At 44.5% G+C, this 19,418-nt stretch overlaps 1 protein-coding gene across 2 annotated transcripts in view, besides 4 other annotated features; it reads right to left on the bottom strand.

The window, feature by feature from the left end:
* The window catches only part of DLGAP2 (DLG associated protein 2), a 970,849-nt gene that overhangs the window by 740,114 nt on the left and 211,317 nt on the right, over positions 1-19,418 (bottom strand). The window lies entirely within an intron of this gene.
* Positions 2,212-3,411: an enhancer, noted in NCBI's record as "BRD4-independent group 4 enhancer chr8:914952-916151 (GRCh37/hg19 assembly coordinates)". NCBI's record gives its function as "activates an origin of replication core promoter dependent on BRD2, P300/CBP, MED14 and CDK7 cofactors, and independent of BRD4, by STARR-seq in HCT116 cells {active_cell/tissue: HCT116}" and the evidence as "EXISTENCE:reporter gene assay evidence [ECO:0000049][PMID:35650434]".
* Positions 2,425-3,258: an enhancer, noted in NCBI's record as "H3K27ac-H3K4me1 hESC enhancer chr8:915105-915938 (GRCh37/hg19 assembly coordinates)". NCBI's record gives its function as "activates a minimal SCP1, AML or CMV promoter by ChIP-STARR-seq in naive and primed H9 embryonic stem cells {active_cell/tissue: H9 hESC(naive and primed)}" and the evidence as "EXISTENCE:reporter gene assay evidence [ECO:0000049][PMID:30033119]".
* Positions 5,441-5,941: an enhancer, noted in NCBI's record as "H3K4me1 hESC enhancer chr8:912422-912922 (GRCh37/hg19 assembly coordinates)". NCBI's record gives its function as "activates a minimal SCP1, AML or CMV promoter by ChIP-STARR-seq in primed H9 embryonic stem cells {active_cell/tissue: H9 hESC(primed)}" and the evidence as "EXISTENCE:reporter gene assay evidence [ECO:0000049][PMID:30033119]".
* Positions 18,235-19,198: an enhancer, noted in NCBI's record as "H3K27ac-H3K4me1 hESC enhancer chr8:899165-900128 (GRCh37/hg19 assembly coordinates)". NCBI's record gives its function as "activates a minimal SCP1, AML or CMV promoter by ChIP-STARR-seq in naive H9 embryonic stem cells {active_cell/tissue: H9 hESC(naive)}" and the evidence as "EXISTENCE:reporter gene assay evidence [ECO:0000049][PMID:30033119]".

The following is a 19,418-nucleotide window of genomic DNA, read 5'->3' as shown; positions in this document are numbered from 1 at the left end:
TGCTTCCCATTCCTACTGACCATCTGACCATGAAAGGTTCTCAGAGAATTAGGTGGGTCGGTAGCTGAAAGGAATCAGCAAAGCACCAGCTGGGGGGTTGGGGGCAGGGGCCCCACGGGCATAGCTGTCATAATCATCTTCCTTTTACTGCCCACATGTGGCTTGTATTCAGTAAAAGTCAGATATTCCCAAGTTACAACATAAACAGAAGTCACAAATCAGACTCTGCCTGAAGTCACCAAATTAAAATTCAAAACTGAGGGAACACAAAAGGAAAGAAAAATTGGGAAGACAGGTGAATAACAATGTGTGTGCATCTGTGTCAGCATGAGGGCAAATGAGCACGTGTGTGAGTGCATTTGTGTATCAGGAGAGAAGCTACAGACTAAATACAGTGAAGATACTGACGTAAAGAAAAACAACATCATAGTCATCATGAAGAAAACACCTGTTTGTTATACTTTCAGTTCTAGGGAGTTTAAAGTATTTATATATATATATATATATATATATATATATATATATATATATATATATATATATATAGTGGTGTTCAACAAAGAGGTGTATATATATATATATACATATATATATATACACCTCTTTGTTGAACACCACTTTTGGGATCCTTTAAGATTTTATACAGTAGTAAAACAAACCTCTTTCAGCAATAAATGTACATAGGTATTTGTACATTTCTCAGAAATCCACAACCCATCCAAGAAAAAAATCCACAATTTAAGTCAAATTGTGCATTGAAATGTTGAAATAGCCATGCATGTCAAAATTTTGAACTTTTCCTCTTGCTCTGAATTGAATTCTAGGTTTCACATCCTTATCTTTCCATACAACTATTGAACACGAATAAATCTGAAATTCATGAAGGCATCCAAACAATTAAGGGCATCTTAAGCCTCAGCAACAGCTACTTTTTCTTAGAATCAAATGAGTAAGAATAATCTACTCACTCTCAAAACCACAGGCACCCAAAGCCTAAGCGGCACAGAATTCTCAAGTTCATGCCTTATCTGAACCTTCATGTTCGAAAGGGATATGCGCTTAAGCTGGGCTCATTCCCATTTTCTTCAAACTAGAACAAACTTTAGGAAAAACTAACATGGGGAAAGAATCTCACTGTCCATCAGTAAGGAAGTGTTTAAACGTGTACAGTGTATGAGCACATGACACAGGCAGTGAAAGCACGAATGTCAGCGATGGCCCAGCCACCTCTCCAAGGAGCCTGTGCTGGAAAGACATCTGTATAATCAAGAAAGGTAAATACACAAAGAAGTTTATTTCAGCATTCATTTAAAAGAAAAGTAACCCAAATGTCCACATGACACATGTGATGGAGCATCCATATTTGCAATGTCACGCAGCCACTCAAATGCAAGAGACACATCAATGGCCAGTAGATTTATCTGATGTATGTCAAGTGACAAAAGGCACAGTGAAGCACAAAATAAGCTCAGGATCAATTTGTGAGAAAAAGAAGTATATTTTACATACAGACACATTTATTTTACAGGCGTGGAAATAAAGCTGGAAGAAGGTTGACCATCCTAACAACAGTCATTTCTAGCGTAGGAAATGTGAGGAGAGGCAGATGCTCACTCTCAGTCCATTTGCTTCTATGTGTTTGAATAAACCCAGATGTAAAAGACTCCACCAGTAGCAAAAACCGTGAAAGAGGATAAAAGATAACACCCATCACATTTTGTTAGAGGGAAAAAGAAGGTTACAAAGCAGTGTGCATAGCATAAACTAATCATTACCAAAAATACTTATTCATCCATTGTCATTTTTTAAAAAGTTTGAAAATTAAAAACTTTTAAAAAAAAGATATGAAAGCATTCTCAAAGACCAAATGGATATATTTAGAGTTACTAACTCAACTACAGAAAAAGATGTTTGATTCACCCTAAAACTTTCCTGCGGAGTTGGTTTGAAATGGAAGCTTCCTCGATACTTATCTTTTTAAATGATATTTTAAAAAATCATCTTAGTCATGATTTATCAGAAACATGTCATCCGTTTTCTCTTTCTGATCAAGTGTTCAAAGTTACATTCATGAAGCTTCACTCATTCATACCCCAACGTGGACAACTGGTAAACACTTCCTGGGAAAACGCTGCCTGGAACAATCGCTGAAACTCAAATTCCTATGGATTCCCACAACTGGCTCCACTGGTCCAGATGTTACAGCTGCGTTTACTGTGCAAGAAACGAGGATGATGCCCCTGCTCTGGTCTCAGCGCGTGACTGACCTCATCAGGGAGTCTGGCGAGAAGCTGTGATCGTCCCTCAAGAATGGCGCTTGTCCTTGGGAGACCACGGGGGTCACGGCAGAGCTGAGAGTCCCCGTCCTCTACACTGGCTCCAGCCCAGGAGAAGGGTACCTGGCTGCTTGCAGACTCATGGTAGCTGTCCTTGCCACCACGCTCCTCCTCAGGCTCAGGAGCCACATGCGGTGGTGAACAGCGCTGTGTGCATGCGGGGGTCGGGCTCTGGAGCCGCGTGTGTGATGAACAGTGCCGTGTACAGCGCAGGGGTCAGACTCAGGAGCCCTGTGTGGTGAACAGTGCCGTGTGCAGCGCAGGGGTCAGACTCAGGAGCCGTGTGAGGTGAACAGTGCCGTGTGCACGCGGGGGTTGGGCTCAGGAGCCGTGTGAGGTGAACAGTGCCGTGTGCAGTGCGGGGTCAGACTCAGGAGCCCTGTGTGGTGAACAGTGCCGTGTGCAGTGCGGGGCCAGACTCAGGAGCCGTGTGAGGTGAACAGTGCCGTGTGCACGCGGGGGTTGGGCTCAGGAGCCCTGTGTGGTGAACAGTGCCGTGTGCAGCGCAGGGGTCAGACTCAGGAGCCCTGTGTGGTGAACAGTGCCGTGTGCAGTGCGGGGTCAGACTCAGGAGCCCTGTGTGGTGAACAGCGCTGTGTGCATGCGGGGGTCGGGCTCTGGAGCCGCGTGTGTGATGAACAGTGCCGTGTACAGCGCAGGGGTCAGACTCAGGAGCCCTGTGTGGTGAACAGTGCCGTGTGCAGCGCAGGGGTCAGACTCAGGAGCCCTGTGTGGTGAACAGTGCCGTGTGCACGCGGGGGTTGGGCTCAGGAGCCGTGTGAGGTGAACAGTGCCGTGTGCAGTGCGGGGTCAGACTCAGGAGCCCTGTGTGGTGAACAGTGCCGTGTGCAGCGCAGGGGTCAGACTCAGGAGCCCTGTGAGGTGAACAGCGCCGTGTGCATGCGGGGGTCGGGCTCTGGAGCCGCGTGTGTGATGAACACTGCCGTGTGCAGTGCGGGGTCAGACTCAGGAGCTCTGTGTGGTGAACAGTGCCATGTGCAGCGCAGGGGTCAGACTCAGGAGCCATGTGAGGTGAACAGTGCCGTGTGCACGCGGGGGTTGGGCTCAGGAGCCGTGTGTGCGGTGGCGACAGTGCCGTGTGAACGTGGAAGTCGGGCTCAGCGAGCGGGAAGGCAGTACCCCCCGGAGCATGGCCACAGGCGGAGCCAAAGGCCATCGCAAGGCCACCAGGATCCGAGCCTGGCAGCGCTGGAAGGGCTTCCAGTAGAATCTGCACAGAGCAGCAAGAAGTGTGGCCCTCGGGGGAGGGTAGGTGGAGGCGGTGCCCACCCTTGAGAGCAAATGTCCAAAGGCCTGGGCCCCTTGGGTGTGGGCAGAAGCCACACTGGGACCCCTGAAGAAGGACCAGGCCTTGGTGAGGAACATTAGGAGGCCGAGGCCCCAGGATGGGACAGACACTTGCCACGCTCTCTGGCTTCCCGCGTGGGGAACACGGCAGATACCAGCAACATTTCCCAAGGACTCTGTTTACGTTTCAAATAAACAGCTGAACCTGGAGATAGGCACAGCATGTTAGAAATAATTGTTCTTGACTTACGATAGGCTTTGAATAAAAGGCTGGGTCCTCTGCGACTCTGCTCTGTGGGAGAATTGTGTGTCTACACAGAAAGGTCTTCAACGCAGGACAGCAAGTGACAACTGCGTCGCAGCAGAGTCCACGACAGTACAGCGCCACCAGGGCTGCGTGCATAAAAACATGCGGGAATAGCCCTCTGTGAAGCACTTTTTCATTACTGGTTTATAAACAGAGAGTCCACCTAGACACAGGACTATCATGCTTCAAATTAAGGTGAATCCCTGAAGACGTCAGATAGGTTCAAAAATTTGGGGTTTAAAAACAGCTTTATGTCTCCCTGAATGTATCACGACATAGAATACAAGGGAAGCATGCATTTTATTTTACATAAGACTTGAATTTGTTTTCTCGTGGGAAGCATAAACTTCCTAAAGTTTTCCATATAGTTTTATCAGTTATCGTTTCCAAATAATGTTTGAGATTATAAAAATATACACATTTGGGTCGACTAAGTTGAATTTTAATAAGTGATCTCTAGAGGATAAAAAAAGAGTCAGTTCTTTCGAACTTCAGGCAATGCTGCAAGCCACCTGGACTTGGCTTTACACTTGTATTAATTGCACAAAAATTTTAAATGTCATCCCGCTGTCAAATTTTTCATGTTAACTGTGATGGTGCTGGGTCTTTTATGTAATGTTTAATGGAATTCCTACTGTTCATAAATGACATTAGGATCTTGAAATAATATTGAGTTAATAAATGAGAAATCTTTGGTTACCCAGACAATATTAAATTAATTAAAATTCACCGAGGCAGAGCAAGAGTAGGTCCTGGGGGTCACCAACCACAGTTTTTACTGTCTCAATTTCCTTTTTGTAAAGTTCCAATTAAGATGATAAAATTAATGTGATTATTCCTTGCTTACGTTGTGTTGAGAGGAATTACATTTAACGCTTACTTTAATAGTCATCCATATGAATATTTTACATACATAAAAGTTATATTAAAATTAATAAGCAAAAATGCATATATGTACCATATACATAGAGAAGACTGGTAATTAAATAAGAAAAGGCAGTAAAAGGTTATTCTTTATCTTTTGTGTAATCTGCCCAGGGAGCTCACATTCCAAAATACGTCCACTCCAAAGCTGCTAACTTTTGTTTCTCCCTCACATCTGAGAGCTGACTTGCCTTACGTAGGGTGCCTTCTGAAATACTCATTTTCAAACACTGTTTCCAAATGGGGTCGTGGGGTGGCGAAGCTACATCCACCTCTGCTCCCTGCAGGCAAGGTCCTATGAGACCAGTGGCCATCTCCTTCCTGGGTGTGGACTCTCCTTCGACACAAGAAGCTCCGAGGGGTGACCGCTGTTGCTGCTTTTCATGCTGATGTCACTGGTGCTTTCCTGGATGGCGCCCGCACCGAAGCCCACACAGTCCCGGATGAGAGGGGCACAGCAGCCAGCATGGCTGTGCGAGGGCTGCCCATTCCCACACTTTTCCCATCAGAGGACCCCGAACCTAAGACCTGCCTCCTGACCATGGGAATGGGCTGCTGCAGTCGGTACCTCAGCATGGAGGGAGGCACGGTCACAAAGCCTGGCATGAAAGCCACCCACAGATGGATCCTACGAAGGCCATCAGGGTTTCCAAGGCTCTTGTCACCTGAGGGCCACAGCAAAGTGTCCTGCGCCTGGGTGCTGAGGGCCATGCTCCCTGCCGTGACCACCCCTGCCGCTACGGCCACCCCTGTGGAGTCATAGCACATCATGTCTCCAGGGAGGGTTCCACTCTGCTCCATCTGATGTCGTTGTTGCCGGGAATACCAAGCGGAGCCTCTCCATTTTGTCACAGGGTTGGTTTCCCACTCCCCTCTCGGAGGGCGGGGGCCTCTGCTGGAGCAGGTGACCTCAAAAGGAGTCTCTGGGAGCACAGGTCAGGCCAGGGCCCATGTGAGCAGCCCCAGGAGGCTCCCTCAAGGCGCCCACCCCAGCATGGACTCCCAGCAGCGCCCCACGGCCACAGTGCAAGGACGGGTCAGCAACTCCTGGACACTGACTCCAAAGGCAAGCGACTTGCACTGGCAGCTGCTGACCCAAGATCAGGCAGAACAAAAGTTAATTATGGAGACCGGATGGCACTGATGAGGGTAATTTAATTGTATTCAGTGTTCTGCTTTCTAGGGCCAGGGGAAGAAGCCCCTCTCCTTACTTCGCCATCTGTTTTTAGCTGTAATTTTACTACTTGAGATGGGAGACCCTTTCACTGGTATCTTGTTCCAACTAATTCCTCAGAATTTGGTAAAAATGTGCTATGGAAAATATAATGCAAATTATAAGAAAATGAGCCATCCAAACACAAGTATGATGACGACTATGATAATTACAATTCAGAGAAATGCTTTTACAAATGCTAAGCTTAGAAATCTCATTAATGATTACACTTAAATTATATTCATTCTAACTACTATAGCCTGAAACCAATCAAATCTCTGTGTGGATGGCCACACTGGTGGCGTCCATGATGACGCTGGAGAAAATAATCCACATATTGATCGGCCTTGCCAGCAAAGCCACTCCACATGGTGATCAAAAGGTCTATGAAGACTTCCCGAGTCCAGTACTCATCATGACAGTTTAGTTACTTTTACAGTTTCAATAAGAACCTGCCCTTATTTCTACCAGAGAAGAAAACAAAAAATTTACACAAACGTATAACTTTAACAATGTCAGAATGTCGGGATAAATTTCTTTCATATCTCCCATAATTTTCACATAGTTATGTTTTAATTAAAAGAAAATAAAAATACTAGTATGTTACTTTGAAAATGTATTAATTCTAATTTCTTAATAATCAGAAATACTTGTGTATAAATTTAAGGAAAATATCATTCAATGAAATGACAGGTCCCACTGTTGCACAGCCAGGACAGCTCCCCCTATATAGAAATGATATTCAGAAAGCCCTCCTTAGAAACAGAACTGGTGTCTACATTTTGGCTTAAGTACACACCTTAAAGAAAGAAAAGAATGTCACTTCTGCAAGCCAGAACCTCGGCAAACAGGGACTTCTAGAAAGAAGCATACACCCTCTGTTACAGGTGAAATATGCAAAATTGTGTGGAGTCAAACTGGACGGTTCTTGGATCCAAGCCTGAAAATAAATGAGCTGATGATGGAACTCATTTTCCTGAGCACACAGTTCTGGAATGACTGAAGGGGTCAAAATAAGACATCAGGAACTTTACAAAGCCACATGATAGAAGTCAGTGGCCTTGATATTGTATGGCCCCAGCTTTCGCAGACCACATATGAAGAAGTATGTACACTAACCAAGACCTTTTAATGCATCTATGTGCACAGATCAGGCAAGCCTAATGGAATATGTACAACGTCTAAGTATCGTTCACAGGCAACATGAGAGAGCCACCACTGAATTGGTGTCAACATGGGGGTCTGTGCAGAATCCCTTCTCCAAATTAGAAAATTGATGAAAAAGAATATCAATGGCAGCACAATTACTTTTTGGAATCATAACTGTATAAATGGCATACAGACAGTTCCAGACTTATGATGGTTCAACTTACAATTTTTGAGTTTACAATCAGTTTATTGGGACATAACCCCATCGTAAGTCAAGAAGCATTTGGACTTATAATGGTTCAACTTATGATGTTTCAACTTTACCATGGGCTTATCAGAGTATTAAATGCATTTCAACTTACAATACTTTCAACTTACAATAGGTTTATCGGGCTATAACTCCATCATAAGTCGAGGAGCATCTGTAAATTAAATGTATGTCCAATTTCCAGTATCTATCAGATAAGTAAATACCAGCTGACTAAACAACAAATTCAATTAACGGTCTTTGTATGAACACAAGTGAGAGTAGCCTTTTATGATAAAGAATAATCATTAGGGAGATTTACGATCACAGAAGATACAATTCAGGGCCGGGAGTGGTGGCCCATGCTTGTAATCCCAGCACTTTGGGAGGCCAAGGCAGACGGATTGCCTGTGGTCAGGAGGAGTTCAAGACCACCCTGGCCAATGTGGTGAAACTCCGTCTCTACTAAAAATACAAACAGCTGGCGTGGTGGTGCCTGCCTGTAATCCCAGCTACTCTGGAGGCTGAGGCACGAGAATCGATTGAAGCCAGGAGGTGGAGGTTGCAGTGAGCCAAGATTGTGCCACTTCACTCCAGCATGGACGACAGCGTGAGAGTGTCTCGGGAAAAAAAAAAAAAAAGATATACTTCAGGAATAATTGCCCAAAACTTGGAAATAAATTTTTAAAGATGACTATATGCACTTCTAACAGCATGTAAGAACCCATATGAGGGGAACTGGGCCATCTTTGGAAACATAACCGTGACTAACAAATTATTAACATTTAAAACCTTTTAAACTTAGAGCCTAACTAGAAAACTTAAGGGTTGAAGATTTTATTACTTTCTAACAGAGAGGATAATCCTCAAACATCAGTTTATTGCCCTGTAGAACAATACTCAGTTTTATACCTAGCATAACTATCTTTTTTCAGTATTCCTTTCCTCACTATGTAAATCCTTTTTGAGACAGCTGTTCACTCAATTTGCCTCATCAATAAGTTAAATAAAACTCATTTTATATGAGCATGAAAATCATTGTTTTTAATGACTTGAGAATGTTTCTTATAAATGAGAATATAGTCATATTCTCTCCTCTTTAGTTTAAAATAAAAGTGAATGTCAGATGGACAAGCTATTTGCCCTTGAGCCAATCAGACCTTGCATCTCTCACAGAGACCTCTCACACCCATGATGAATTAACTCTCACAATGTCACATGACTGGCAACCAGTAACAGTTTCCCAGAAGACCACACTCAAGTTCAATGGAATGAAGAGTGTTGCCCAGTGGACTCACATCCCAGTGAGGAAGCAAGCCTTGTGACGACGGGCACAGAGCTTTCTGTTGCACAAGGCTGCCCTGGACACAGAAGACAGCACCATCTTCAAGCTCTTCAAGACCACATTCTAAGCCAGCATGAGCCAGGGCATTCTCAGAGCTAAGGCTGTGGGAAAATCGTGACTGCAGTGGCGTTTCTCACAGGACAGGGCCGTTTCTCTGAGGGACCCAGCCCTGCCTGGCTCATCCGTGACAGTGGAGCAGACATCAATTATTCTGTCATGTGTGCCACACAAATGCACTTGAGACCTCCTTCCCCAAAACATTAGAGCCACAACACCAGCTGCTGCACTTACACAACTCTTCTTTCCTCTGAAACACTCACTCTTTTACATGTCTTTTGGAGACGTATAAGCAAGTTTATTAAAAAATTAGGAAATATATTTTTATCCAACTACCCTGACACAATACATATTATCACTTTATTACTGTTAGCTTTTAGTCATATGCAAGCACCCTCTACATAGCCATAATTAAAATTATGTGGATATTATCATAGCATGCCCTTCTCACTGAATTTGGATTGTATCCGTGGAAAGACATTTTGTTGCTGCATAATCTTCAGCATCAATGCTTCAAAAGCCCACACACCAAAACATCTAAATTTTCTTTAATAAAATCATATCAAGCCACCTTATGTTCTCATTGCATAGTTTGTATGTATAAGATTTCCGAGCAACTGTCTCCTGTCCCATCATCAAATCTTTTCCTGTAGATCCTGCTCCCATTCTAAGTCTCACAATATGCCCTTTCCATTTCAATACCTTGGTTCAATAGTTGAAGACTTGGTTCAACTAAACTACTGAAACTCTTCTAACCTTTGGTATGCTAGATACAGAAATATGCCCTAAATACAACACAGAAGCACGAGGCTTCCATTTGCATGGCTTGATTTTTCTTGGGTCTTTCCCATCATTAACATCCCCGGGAAAAGTTTTTTTTTTTTTTTTTTTTTTGGAGGTCTAGTTTAATTTCCAATAACTAATGGCATTACAATCACTGGAATGCCTGCAAAACACTATTCCAGAAAGATGTCTGAATGAGCCGCTTCCATCTCTCATCCCCACAGAAACAATGAAAACCAGAATCACCATATGACCCTGCAATTCCACTTGTAGGTCATTCCCGAGGGAGATGAGCAACGGAGGGGAAGACTGGGACCTGCACGCATACTCATGCCCCAGTGTCCACTGTTGACTATTCACAACAGCCAAAGGCAGAAATGGCCCAAATGCCCATCAATAGATGAATGGATCGACAAAACATGGCGGCGGTGGGGGGGTGTCCACACAATGGATTACTGTTCAGACATATAAAGGAATGCAGTTCTGACACAGGCCACCACATAAATGAATCTTGAAAACATCATGCTAACTGAAATAAGCCAGATCAACATTATAAATATTGTATAACTCCGCTTTTGAGAAACATCTAGAATGGTCAGATTTATAGACACAGAAAGAATGAACAGAGGCTGCCAGGGGCTGGGGGTGGGTTAGCGAGGGCTGCTGTTTAATGACACAGAGTTTCTACAGGGATGACGGAGTTTCAGAGGTGGACAGTGGTGAGGGTCACACAGCACCAGGAACGTATTGTATGTCACTGAATTGGACATTTAAAATGGCAGGTGAGGGAAATCCTATGTTTTTAATATATTTTTCCCACAATAAAAATATTTTTAAAATATTTTTCCCATATATAATTTCTTTCATAATGAGAAACTATACCAATTAGACACATATTATTACCAGCCTACACCTTCTTCTAAAATGTTCATTTCTGCTGGAATAAAATAAACACAGCTGAATGACAAAGATTTTTGAAAGATTAATAAAACTAGACTGACAAGGGTAAGGCATTAGAGATACTGTCATTAATGACGGTCATTATGTAGGACAGTCATTTGACTATTTCAACACTAAGAAATTGCAACAACGTATCCCTCTGAAATAATGACAGGAGCACAAAGATGAACACTGCTGCCCGTTTCTAACGGTAGAACATGGACACAATCCAAATACACATCAGCAGTGGCCTAATATCAGCATCTCTAGGCTGGTGTTTTGGACATATGAGAGTTCTGAGCATAATGGAGTCACGGGTGAAAAATACGCTTTAAACCCAGCTTCCAAGACACAGCAGCCCTGCGTTTTCTATAGATCAACGAAGGACAACTTTTAACCTGAACTCCACACACAGGGCCGATGGAATGCACCCTTGGGTTTCCCTGGCTCCTCTTCCAGGGTCATCCGTGGTGCCATGGGGAAGACAGGAGGCCCTGGAGGGGCCTCTGGCTGTCCCACAAGCACTGACCCTGCCTTCAAAGGCCCCCAGCTCTTGCCGTTATCCATCCTATGCCAGGTCCAGGACTCTCTCCGAAGCCAGCTAAAGGCCTCATTCCCCATGTTTCCAACTGACTCTGATTCTTTAAGAAAACCTCCTCTCCCACATCTTTGCAAATGGTCTGAGCTTTCCAACCAGCTTGGGTGCTTGAAATTATAAGCCAGGACAACTGACAGGTGACATTTCTTAGACCCTGATGTGTGTGTCTTGGAGCAATCTAGTAAGATAGCTCTGATGAACAGGAGGGGAGGTGTGAAATGTGAAAACAAAATTAAAACTCAATTTCATCCATTCTCTCATGGAAATGTATAAGAAATGACAGAAGCAAGTTGCTGGACAACCACAATAATCCTGTTCCCACTTAAATACCATTTAAACAGTGACACATGTGCACTAAAGTACCTGGAAAAGCATAAAATAAACCCTGAATCATGGTTAGACCTCAGGACAGATTGGAGAGGGCTTCCCTTGCCTAAGTAACTGGAATTGACAAGTGTGGAAAATCTTTGGCTATTTTGCCATCACATGTATTAGATCTGTAAATGGAATGTGGGTGTAGGAAAACGGAGGCAGCAGTCTAAAATATCAGGTTTCAGGGGTGTTTTGATGCCCACGATGCGTGGCTCTGTGGCCCCTCCTGCCCTGGTCCTTCAGAAAACTCTGAGTGGTGTCTGGGCTGTGGCCCCTGTCATGCCAGGAACCAGCGGGTGGACAGATGATTCTCAGAGCTGAGAGGGTCCTCTCATTTGGCCTTCACTGGCCACACCAGCCTGCAGTGATCTCCAGCCACCCCCACACACTCACTGTGACCCTGTCAATACCGTTCATGCACCAAATAACCATGAGCTTTCTGGGGCCCACTGTGTTTTCCTAACAAGGCCTGGCCTTGCCAAGCAGCTTTTGAGCTCCTGGGGAGCACAACTTGTCGGCTGCAAGTCTTCAGACGCTGTGCACAGTGGAAAAGTTTCCAATATCACATCCACCACTGCACAGGAAGTGAAGCCCGTGAGAAATAAACTCAAAAGAAATGCACCAGACGCACACACAAATTATATATCTCAAGCTTGCTTTATACAATGTGCTTGGTACTAGTGTCAACATTTGGCCTGTGTTGGTAACCATCCTCAAAACAGCCCCACCAGGGAATTTAACTCCACCATCACCCCATCTTTCTGAAGAGGGCTATGAAGGAAGAGGGGTTAATAAGCCTCCCAAAGTCACAGGGCCCAAAAGGTTAAAGCCAAGACTTCAATCTGGGCGGTCTGGGCTGCTGTCTGTGTTCTTAATACCGAGCAACACATGCCACTCAAGGCCGCCACCCCTTGTTGTTCCCAGGAAAACTACAGATGAGAACAGAGAGCTGCAAATGGCAAGGGCACCACATTTGTTCAACAAGGTAAGATATTGGGAATATGTCCATTCTTCCCAAGCCGGAAGATTGCAACAATGCAATCCTATTTAAAATTCATGTAAGACTTTTTGAGGAAGTTGGGATAATAATTCAAAAGTTTATCTGGAACATTAAGTGAAAAAAGCCTTGAAGTTTTGGGGAAAAAAAGAAAAACGGAGCACTGTCACTCCAAGTAGTAGATCCCACGTATTATAAATGAGTAACATCCGTGTGCAGCAACCCTGTTAAGGCAGACAAGCCAAGAAGGAAGCCCACCCAACCCGGGGCTCAGAAATGGGGATCAAGGAACCTCACACAGAGCAGCACACAGAGAAGGTAGAATTTACTTCCAAAAACTGACACTGGGGCAGGCAGCAGTGGGGAGGAGGGAGGAGGATGAATGGACACACAAGATTCCAGTGGGTGGAAACAGAGCGACGCACCTGCTTCTGACATTGAGAGGCCTCGCTGGGCACTTGGAAAGCTGTAAGGGGGATACTATGAAAAGAAAGGCACCACAGGTTTAACTCCATAAACATATGTGAGGTGAAGAGGCAAATGTGCACCTGGGAAGGTGGTTTCTGAGACAGGCTCGCAGTCTTCGGGAAGCAAACTCAAATACAGCATACACGGGTGAGCTTCCATGAGCATGAAGACCTGCCAGGTGATGACGCCTGGTGTCAATGGCAAACCTTCAAACTCTCATGGCCTTTCACAGAGATCAATATTGGCCAAGCAGAGACAAATTGGTACAACAGGCACTGGCAGTTCTGTACTGAAAATGAAACCGTTCTGTGGAATGCTATTTGCTTGTCTTTTTAAAAATCCTCGTTCTCTTCTAGGCAGTTAGGGAACAACTGATGACCATTTGAAATGGAAAGACCATTAAAATTTTTCTAATTTAGTCAAATATTAGACACAGCAAACTAACACCTATACATCTAAGGTATTCAGAATAACAAGGAAAGTTACATCAATGAACCTACCATACCAGCCCTACCCTCAAAGACTCCTGGACACAACTCCCTGGCCATCTTCTTCCCCACCCAGGCTAACCAGTGTCATGCATTTTCAACTAATTAGTCCCTTGATTTTTATTATGGTTGTATCATATATGTAACCATAATCAATATATTGCTTATTTTCCAGGTTTTTAAACTTTATCTAAATCCAATCCTATTATATGTCTCCCTGTATGACTTGCTTTTTATTCTCTATGGGATGTTTCTAAGATATACCCTTTCTGATGTATGAAGCTGCAGTTCATTTTCCACTGCTGTGTAATATTCAGTTACATTATAAATACAACACAATTTATACATTCTCTAGTCAATGAACATTTATATGTGTTTCCAAATTTTAGTATTACAGATACTGCGTCCGTGAACATTTTGAACACATTTCTTGGTCACTTGTATAAGAGTTTCTCCTAGGGGCTGAAGGGAGGCGAGAGGGATGGAGAAATGTCAAAGGGTAATACAAATTTTCACTTATAGATGAACAGGTTCTGGGGTTCTATTGTACAACATGGTGACTATAGTTAATAATACTGTATTGCGCACATAAAATGTGCTGAGAATAGATCTCGAATTTTCTCACTACACAAAAAACTGGTAACTTTAAAAATGCCACATTATGCACCTTAAAAAAATTTCTCTTAGGCAGTGTGGACAACCTTTTCCTGGGAGCCACTGACACTCTTTCAGGGGTTCAAGACGTCAAAACTACTTTCATTATAATGATGAGGGTTGCCTAACAGTGCACACATAGGGGAGAGCTAGCTGCTTGCTGGTGTCTCCAAAGAAGTCAACACAGCCAGCACCAGTGGCACAAGTCCTCATGGCACCTTCCACAGCAAACACTTGCAGTTTAAAAAGAGTCTGTTTCACTAAAGAACATCCTTGATGAGGCATCAACCAAGATCAGTTTTATTAAATCTCAGCTCTTTTCAGCCATCTGAGTGACTGACCAAATGGAAAGTCCCATAAAGCGCTTCTGCTGCAAAGGAAACGACTGTCTTAAACGGAAGCACTCAATTTCACTGTGACAGCGTCAGCTCCACTCGGCACTTTCTTTCTCAATTTCACTGTGACAGCGTCAGCTCCACTCGGCACTTTCTTTCACGCAACTCTGTTTTTATGTGAAAAAAGACTGATGGACAAAACCACAGTCATTGGGATTTGGCAACATGGCAGACATTCTATTTTTAAAAAAGAATCAAAGACACTATAACTTTCAGAAAAACAACTGAAAGTATTTGCTATCAGTGATCAAATTTAAGCTTCCAAGCAAAAATTAGAAATTTAAAAATTTGGGCCAGGCACGGTGGCTCACGCCTGTAATCCCAGCACTTTGGGAAGCTGATGTGGGTGGATCACGACGTCAGGAGTTCAAGACCAGCCTGGCCAACATGGCGAAATCCCGTCTCTGCTAAAAATACAAAAATTAGCCGGGCGTGGTGACAAGTGTCTGTAATCCCAGCTACTCGGGAGGCTGAGGCAGAGAATTGCTTGAACCTGGGAGGCGGAGGTTGCAGTGAGCCAAGAATGCACCACTGCACTCCAGCCTGGGCAATGGAGCGAAACTCCATCTCAAAAAAAAGAAAAAAGAAAAAAAAGAAACATAGAAATTTCGAATATCTGTATTTAACACCATGAGCCAGGAAGCTTTCCAAAACTTTAAAGGCTTTTCTGATGAAATTGGTAGTGATATTAATGAATGAGATTTTTCCATGTTGTATAGGATCTGTCAGCATTTTGAAGACCTGCATAATTCAGTGAACCAATAATTTCCAAATGACCAGTGCATGATGCTATAATCTCATGTATGAGCAAAAGAACCTTCCAAAGCATAAAACAGACCAACAGATTTCAACATAAGGAATGACAAAGTGTTTATCAATATGGCCTAACTCCATATTTGTGTGAGAATGCATTTTCTTCATATACCTGAACCAAAATAACATGTCACATCAAAGATGCAAACATGAGACTCCACATGCTTCTAATATACCAGAAATTAGAGAAGTCTGAAAAAATAACATAAAATAATGCTACTCATCACAAATTTGGTAAGGTGTTTTGTGGACAATAGGTGTTTTTTCATATATACCTGTTTCTTTTATTAATATGAAATATGTTGATTATTTTTATTTTATTTTTATTTTTTTGAGATCATGTATCACACTGTCACCCAGGCTGGAGTACAGTGGCGTGATCTCAGCTCACTGCAGCTTCCATCTCCCTGGCTCAAATGATTCTCCCACCTCAGCCTCCTGAGTAGTTGGGATTATAGACGCCCACCACTACACCCAACTAATTTTTGTATTTTTAGTAGAGACGGGGTTTCACCATGTTGGCCAGGCTGGTCTTGAACTCCTGACCTCAAATGATCCTTGGCCTCCCAAAGGATTATTTTTAAATGAAGCACTAAATAATTTGAAATGTTCTCCATTTTAATTTCGAATGCAATAAACATCAAGAGACATAAACAGAAGCTCTGGGGAATTGTTGGCCCTTAGTAATAGCATCAAGAGGTCCTAAGCTCTGAAAGTTAAAAACCTGGGCTCTAGGATGTACTGGGAAATATGGGGTCACAAGGAGGCACATCCTTTCAGCTCTGCAAAATGGGTCGGATTATTTTACAAGGTGGTTCCATCAATGCAGGCTCCATGAGCTGGGCAGGAGGCCTGCACTCCTCCACACCTGGAGAGAAAATGGAACTAGAAAACTCAACCAAAAAGGAGAGGTCAGTGCCACTGGAGGAGAACCCACTGGGAGAGGGCACTCCCGGGAGGGCAAGGACAAAGTCCAAGTGGAGGAACCAGAGTCAGGATCAGCAGGAGCAAACGGCATGCCCAGAACTCATCCCCTTACTCTTCAAGTTACTTTGCTTCCAAGTGGTTCCAATGAGTCTACCAGGGCCTTGAAATGATTGTTTCTTAACAGTTGTGGGAAAAGGGGGTAAGATAAACATGGATTTGAGACCGCCTTTAGCCACTAAGGTCATTAGTTACTCTCCTCCTTTAAAACTCATCTGATCTAGGAAATGCATGACGCCCCAGGTGAGGACCCGTCTGAATGACGATGCTCTAATGCCTGCAAGGAGCACCTGGACATGTCCCAGCACAGCATGCCACGCAGTACACATCTTCTGAGTTATTAAAAATAGTGAGCATGAACTAGGAAAAGCTTCATGAACGCAATAATTATCAAGGGTACTAAAAGTGTGCTTTCCCTTTTAAAATACATTTATCAGCCAGGTGCAGTGGCTCACGCCTGTAATCCCAGCACTTTGGGAGGCCAAGACGGGCAGATCACCTGAGGTCAGGAGTTCAAGACCCACCTGGCCAACATGGCAAAACCCCATCTCTATTAAAAAATAAAAACAAAAAAATAGCCAGGTGTGGTGGCAGGTGCCTGTAATCCTGGCTACTTGGGAGGCTGAGGCAGGAGAATCACTTGAACTGGGAGGCAGAGTTTGCAGTGAGCCGAGATCACACCACTGCACTCCAGCCAGGGCAACAGAATACATTTATCCAATGTGTGAAAAGACACAGAGTCACTGCACTATTTTTTAAAGTAACAAAATATCAGAAACAAGATAGATATCCTATAATTGAAGTAAATTATGGTATAGGCACACAATGGAATATGATAAATAATGTTTTGGAAAAATGAATATGGAAAGATATTGGCAATACAATGTTAAGTTAAAAAAATAGAATGTAGTATGCATATTCTTATGCTATTTACATGGTCTATGTGAAGAAAATATAAACAAAATAGGAATCCAAATAATCAAAGTGATTACTGCAGGGCAGGAGATACAGGTGAATTTTTCCTTGGCTTCACTCGATCTTTTAATATAAGAAATATTCTAGGGCCGAGCGCGGTGGCTCACGTCTGTAATCCCAGCGCTTTGGGAAGTTGAGGCGGGTGGACCACAAGGTCAGGAAATCGAGACCAGCCTGGCCAATATGGTGAAACCCCATCTCTACTAAAAAAATACAAAAAAATTAGCCGGGCACGGTGGCACATGCCTGTAATCCCAGCTACTCGGGAGGCTGAGGCAGGAGAAATGCTTGAACCCGAGAGGCGGAGGTTGCAGTGAGCCAAGATCGTGCCACTACACTCCAGCCTGGGTGACAGAGCGAGACTCCATCTCAAAAAAAAAAAAAAAAAGAAAAAGAAAAAAAGAAATATTCTACAAATTTTTCTACAAGGAAAGGTGAGAAGTAATGGTCAGATGAACAGGTCAGGTTTAGATTTCGCTCTTACAATTTACTAACTGTGCTGTATTTTATCTTCAAAGATGTTTTCTCACCTGTATACCAAATGTTCCTTCATAAATGGTGCTGCAAGTGACATGACGTGACCCGCAGGAAGCGCTTGGTAAGAGGCATTATTTTATGTATTCTTTGAATAATTAAAAGGTTGAACAAAGGGATATTGAATGATTTTCTCTGGGAAGTGCTCTTTTGTAAATCTGCGTCCCTGTCAAATTGTATCACAATCATCAAATAAAGCAAAATGGGCCATGCTGTATTTCCTCATGATTTTTGGTACCATGTTATCAAGAAGCTGCATCTTGAGATCACAAAATTAACTTCAGCCGGGCATGAGATTGAAAACCCAGCCCCGAGTCACTGTTTTGGACTCTCCCGTTCCAGGTGACTTCACTTGCAGTCCCTGAGTATTGAGCCCCGCGGCACCAAGGCAGGTGCTGCCGGGCAGATAAGGCGTCCTAAAGACCTGGGTCCCCTGGAGAAGCAAGACGGGACACATTGCAGCGATTTGTCCGAGTGTCTCTTTGTGTGTGTGCCTCGCTTTGAAAATGTACTAAAAGCTGCTGGGCCCAGATAAGTATCTTCCACGACTCCCATTTCCTGTTAGCAGAAAATCAACGCTATTTTTACTCATCTGCCACCAAGAGAAAAGCGCCGGTTCCATTAGACCAAAGGGTCACTGTGGGTGCCTGTGTTCTCTGGAGGGCCCGCGTGACCTGCGTCCCAGGACGGCCCCCACAAAAGCCTCTTAGCTCTACTCTCTGCCCGTTCCTGACAGCAGAACATCTGCCGGGTCCCTGAACTGACCTGAGGACAACCGGGGACACTGCAAGGGGGGTGGGAACGAGGACATGTAGGAGAAAGAGGACCTGCCAGAAAAAGAGTGACCCACAATGAGGAAGCTGCAGCGGGGAGGCCCGTCCTGGGGAGCACACGCCCTGGCACGCGCCCACGTGTGGGGTCCTGCCCCGGCAGGCACTGGCCCGACTGTGCCTTCCTCTTCTTTTCTGCTTGAATGTTCGCATCTTCCCGAGTTTCAGCTCCGGAAGCCCAGGGCTCCTCTTGCAGACCCCTCCCTCCTCATCCTCTCTCCTGGATCCGCATTCACTCCTGGGCGGCCCCAGCCAATCCGTGGCTCTAAACACTGTCTACAGCTGGGACTATCCAGCGTGGTGTCTGCCACGAACCCATCCTGAATCCCAGACTCACGCCCAACGGCCTGGTCCGCACCTGTGCCTGAACTAGGAAAGTTCCTCCTTTTCCTGCCGACAAATGGCAACTTGGCTTTCCACAGCACAGGCTGGACCCTTGATGCATCCCTGATCCCATCTACTCCAGGAACCACACGTCCTTTCCACCCACAAATCCCTTCAGCTGTATCTCTAAATACCCAACCTCTCCAGAGCCACGACCTCCAACCACCCCAGCATCCCCTCAAGACGGCGGCAGTCACGCCCACGGGCCCTGCTCCCACCCTGGCGTCCCCTCAAGATGGCGGCAGCCACCCCGACAGGTCCTGCTCCCACCCCGGCGACTCCTCAAGATGGCGGCAGTCACGCCCACGGGCCCTGCTC

This window comes from Homo sapiens, chromosome 8, assembly GCF_000001405.40.
Source record: "Homo sapiens chromosome 8, GRCh38.p14 Primary Assembly".
NCBI classification, from domain to species: domain Eukaryota; kingdom Metazoa; phylum Chordata; class Mammalia; order Primates; family Hominidae; genus Homo; species Homo sapiens.
This window is presented reverse-complemented; position numbering and strand designations above follow the sequence as displayed.